This window comes from Homo sapiens, chromosome 11 (genome assembly GCF_000001405.40).
Source record: "Homo sapiens chromosome 11, GRCh38.p14 Primary Assembly".
Lineage (NCBI taxonomy): Eukaryota > Metazoa > Chordata > Mammalia > Primates > Hominidae > Homo > Homo sapiens.
In genome coordinates this window covers 48172535-48177809 of record NC_000011.10, presented here as the reverse complement: position 1 = coordinate 48177809, position 5275 = coordinate 48172535, and the positions used below count along the sequence as shown (strand labels likewise).

The window sequence follows — 5275 nt, the reverse complement described above, 5'->3', positions numbered from 1 at the left end:
TTCTATGGTAGCACAGTCTAAATAGAAAGGAGTAAGAGAAGGCTTTCTAGAGTGAGGAATGACTAAAGCTGAGTTTGGCCAAGGAAAGGGGGAAGCATACAAGAATTTGAGCAAAAAGAAGATACCTTGTAAGATACAATAAATCTTTCTGAGTTTCTCTTCAAAGGATTTAGCCTGTTAACTTCCTTATCCCTCGTTCGCAAACTCAACTTTCTTGTTCTTCCTTGCCCCTAGTTAGCATAAACAGCCTACCCCATGTCCGTTAGCTCTAATCAATAAATCTGTTCCCTTGGTGACCTCTACCCATTGTTCCCCCGAAACTGCACATCTCACACGTTCCACCTCTGTACCTCACGTCCCCCTCCCCTTCTATATTTAGGAAAATATGTACAAGTAGCCAACTGGGTCAGCTCAGATTTTGCAGTCTGACCCCAGCCCATGGGGGAGTGACACAGAGATAGGGACTGCATTAAGGATAAAAACTCCCTGGTCTCCTTTGTTCTCTGTGCTCTTGTGATTTTTACTGATGCAAGTGACACCCTTCTACAGAAGTAAATTGCCTTGCTGAGAGAATTAAACTTTTGCCTGAGTGCTGGTTTTACTTCGCTGCACCGAGCATTTATTCCTGGAGCATTTTATATCCAACAATCTCATGTGTAGAAATCATGTGTAAGTGGTTTATTATGGCTGGAGGGTGGATTCTGAGCAGAATGTAGTGGAGGCAGGCTGGTGGTTGGGACACAGCCATGTCCCATCCACAACCCCAGATACCCTCCTGCTTCAGCTGGTTACCATGAAGTGACTGAGATGACCCCCTCCCCATCAGAAGCAAATGCAAAGGGCAGATCCATCTTGTTCCCTGATGCCTTCTTTCCATCTCACTGCCCCCAGGACCAACAACATTACACCAGGAGGTAGAGCAGAGGGAGGCACAAAGTCATCAGTCACGCTCCAGGAAAGAGGCCTTCCCAGCAGCCAAGGCTGAGCCTTCTCCCCTGAGCTGCTCCCATGAGAGGGCTGACCCCTCAGGGGAGTTTGCTCCTCAAAAGGCCCTTCCTTGTGTTAAGCCAAACCTGTCTCCCTGTCACTGTCACAGGTCCTAGGCTGACCTGTGAGGCCACATGAGGCATGTGTCTGTCCCCTCTAGCCCATGGTGTCCTTCCAGACTTTCCAAGAAAGAGCCATGCCATCTCCCTCCCTCTAAAGGTTCTGGAAGTAATTAAGCCTCCAGGCTAGGTGGAGTGGATAGGACCAGTGGATTTGTTGAAAGGGCCTTCACGGATTCTTCCCATCTAGGGAGTCTATGGCCCATGTCAGGGAACATGAAATGCCTCAGAAGGACCCTCACACTGCCAAGGCTGCAGCATCAGGGCCTATGAGTCTGGATCAGGTTGTCCAAGACACAACCATGACCCCTGAGCATGCAATTTTGACATAACAAAATTGGTCTCCTGATATGACACCTGGTCTCACACCCAAGACTGCAGCTGTGGAAACACAGGACAGAATTCCTTAGATCCTGGATGTGTGGCCCTCACTAAGTGGGAGACTCGAACCGGTGCTCCCAACTCCATATAAAGGCTCCCAGAAGTTTTGAGTTTGTGATATTGTTTGGATGTTTGTCCCCTCCAAACCTCACGTTGAAATGTAATTCCTCCTGGGCATGGTGGCTCACACCTGTAATCACAAACTTTGAGAGGCCAAGATGGGCAGATGACTTGAGGTCGGGAGTTTGAGGCCAGCCTGGCCAACACGGTGAAACCCCATCTCTACTAAAAATACAAAAATTAGCTGGGCATGGTAGTGGGAGCCTGTAATCCCAGCTACTCAGGAGGCTGAGGCAAGAGAATCACTTGAACCCAGGAGGCGGAGGTTGTGATGAGCCGAGATCGCGCCACAGCACTCCAGGCTGGGCAAAAGAGGGAGACTCCGCCTCAAAGAAAAAAAAAAAGGAAGAAATATAATTCCCAGTGTTGGAGATGGGGCCTGGTGGGAAGTGCTCCAATCATAGGGACGAATCCCTTGTGAATGGCTCACAGCCATCCCCTTGGTGAAGTGCGAGTTTTCCCTCCGAGTTCACGCAAGATCTGGTTGTTTAATAGCATGTGACACGTCCCCCCATCTGTCACCCTCTCTTTCTTGCTCCTGCCCTTGCCATGTGACATGCTGGCTCCCGGTCACCCTCCTCCGTGATTGTAGCTTCCTGAGGCCCTCACTAGAAGCAGATGCCAGCACCACACTTCCTGTATAGCCTGCAGAGCCATGAGCCAAACTAAAACCTCTTTTCTTTATCAATTAAACAGTCTCAGGTGGTGTTTCTTTACAGCAATCCAAGAAAGGCCTAGCACAGTTTGCTTCTTTTTCATTTGCCTATTCAAGTTACAAAAGGAGGGGGGCGGGGTGTTCATTATTATAATGTTCATTGTGGATGAAGCTGTAAAGAAACAGGCATTCTCACACACTATAATGAGAGTGTAAATTGCTATCTAGAGAAAAATTTAGCAGAATTTCATCTAAGCGTTACCTTTTTTTCTTTTTTGAGATAGGATCTCACTCTGTCACCCAAGTTAGAGTGCAGTGACACAATCTTGGCACAACCTGCCTCCCAGGCTCAAGTGATCCCCCCCACTTCAGCCTCCCAAGCAACTGGGACAACATGCATGTGCCACCACACTCGGCTAATTTTTTGTATTTTTTGGTAGAGATGACGTTTTGCCTTGTTGCCCAGGCTGGTCTCAAACTCCTGAGCTCAGGCAATCCACCTGCCTTGGCCTCCCAAAGTGCTGGAATTACAGGCATCAGCCACCACGACCAGCCTAAAGCCCTACCTTTTTATATATTTCGATTCATTAATTTTATAGAAAAGTTTACTAAGAAATTAATTGTGATGTCTGCAAAGATCTGGCTACTGTGATAGATGCCACATCCTTATTCACAGGAGAGTAAAATCAGAAATAATCTAATGGCAATCAATAAAAGAGTAGTTAACTCGAGAGTGGTATGTGTCCATACTATGGAGTATTATGCAGCTCTTAAAATGGTGAACAGGATGAATACCTAATAACACAGAAAGAGTTCACAATATGTCAAGTATAAAAAGCAAGTTTCAGCCAGGCACGGTGGCTCAGGCCTGTAATCCCAACACTTTGGGAGGCTGAGGTGGGCGGATCACCTGAGGTCAAGAGTTCAAGACCAGCATGGCCAACACAGTGAAACGCTGTCTTTGCTAAAAATACAAAAAAATTAGCCAGGCATGGTGGCACATGCCTATAGTCCCAGGTACTTGGGAGGCTGAGACAGAAGAATTGCTTGAACCCGGAAGGCAGAGGTTGCAGTGAGCCAAGATCATACCATCGCACTCCAGCCTGGGTGACAAGAGCGAAACTCTGTCTCAAAAAAAAAAAAAGCAAGTTTCATTAGCCAGGTGTGGTGGCACGCACCTGTAGTCCCAGCTACTCAGGAGGCTGAGGTGAGAGGATCACTTGAGTCCAGGAGTCTGAGGCTACGGTGAGCCATTACAGTGCCACTGCACTGCAGCCTGCATGACAGAGTGAGACCTCGTCTCTAAAAATAAAAATTTTTAATTTTAAAAAAGAAGCAAGTTTCAAAAAATTGAGCACAGAACCAACTTAAAAGGTTAGCAGCCAGGATAGTGGTTAGCTTTGCCAGGGTGTGGCTGAAAGGGGGCACCAAGGTGGCTTATGGCATGCTGGTCGTATATACTTTTTAATTTGGGTGCTGGTTATATGGGTGTGTTCATTTTTGGACAATTATTCAAACAGCCAACCTATGATTAGTGCATTTTTCTGTCTGTATTACGCTTCAGTAGAAATATTACTCAAAGAAATATGTTAATCTTAAAAAGAAATATGAACATGTTTGATTCCAGTTTTGCAAAAAGATGAAAGCAAATACATGAAGATGAAGATGTATGCATGTGTGCACATATGGGGGGTGTGTGTGTGTGGTGTTTGTGAGAATTCTAAAGGTTACAGAATTATTTACAGTAAAATGTTAACAGTGGTATTTCCTATGTGGTGGGATATATTAGCCCATATTAGTTATCTCTTGCTGTGTAACAAATTATCCCAAAACAGAGCAGTTTGAAACAGTAAACATTTATCATCTCAGATGCTTTCTGCAAGTCAGGGAGTCTGGGTAGGTTCTGGCTTGGGGTCTCCCAGGAGGCTGCAGTCAAGCTGTCGGCCAGGGCTACTGTCATCCAAAGGCTGACCTGAGAATCTGCTTCCAGGCCCACTCATGTAGCTGTTGGCAGGAGGTTCAGAAGAAGCCCACCACGTGGGCCTCTCTCAAGGCTGCTCAGAACATGCCAGCTGGTTTTGGAGAGAGTGCCGTGGGAGGGGGGCTGGAGGGAGAGAGACAGCGAGAGAGAAACTGCACAGTTTTATCTCAGAAGTGGGATGCCATCACCTCTCTGCAATCTACCAGTCACACAGACCAACCCTGCTACAGTGGAGGAGGGGCTACACAAAAATGTGAATACCAGGCGGGAGGATTATTGGGGGACATCTTGTTGAATGGTGACAACATAGGATTTTTTTATTTTCCTTCTTTTCCTAAATTTTTTTACCATGAACATATTATCTAACAAATTATACGGAAAGCTGCCAGCTGCTGGCAAGGGCGCTTCCTTCGCCCTGTTGCTGGTTTTTAGCCTTGCCTTACGGACCTCCTGGTTTCTTTTCCAATCCTATGTGCTCCACTGCCCTGCCACAGCCTAGCCAAGGATTGCTTCCACAGCCCAGTTCTCTGCCGCCATCTAGTGGCATCATCCAAAACTGCTGGCCCCAACAGGGGCCCACTACTCACCTTTTGGGTCAGGAGGCTTCACCTGCCTGCAGGAATGTAAAGCCCAGGCTCTCATGTTGGAGGCCCCAGAGATCTGCCACGTTCAGCCCCAAATAGAGCTGTGAAACCCCAGAAGGGATGGGATGGCTATCAGAACTTGGAAGCTTGGCCGGGCGTCGTGGCTCACGCCTGTAATCCCAGCACTTTGGGAGGCCGAGGCGGGCGGATCACAAGGTCAGGAGATGGAGACCATCCTGGCTAACACGGTGAAACCCCATCTCTACTAAAAATACAAAAAAATTAGCCGGGCATGGTGGCGGGCGCCTGTAATCCCAGCTACTAGGGAGGCTGAGGCAGGAGAATGGCGTGAACCTGGGAGGCGGAGCTTGCAGTGAGCCAAGATCGTGCCACTGCACTCCAGCCTGGGTGACAGAGCGAGACTCTGTCTCCAAAAAAAAAAAAAAAA

The 5275-nt window shown here is 47.6% G+C and overlaps 1 annotated feature.

Moving 5' to 3' along the window:
- Positions 745 to 917: a silencer, noted in NCBI's record as "fragment chr11:48198445-48198617 (GRCh37/hg19 assembly coordinates)". NCBI's record gives its function as "represses an EF-1alpha promoter that drives an FKBP-Casp9 reporter gene in an ReSE screen in phorbol 12-myristate 13-acetate-treated (for megakaryocytic differentiation) K562 erythroleukemia cells {active_cell/tissue: K562(+PMA)}" and the evidence as "EXISTENCE:reporter gene assay evidence [ECO:0000049][PMID:32094911]".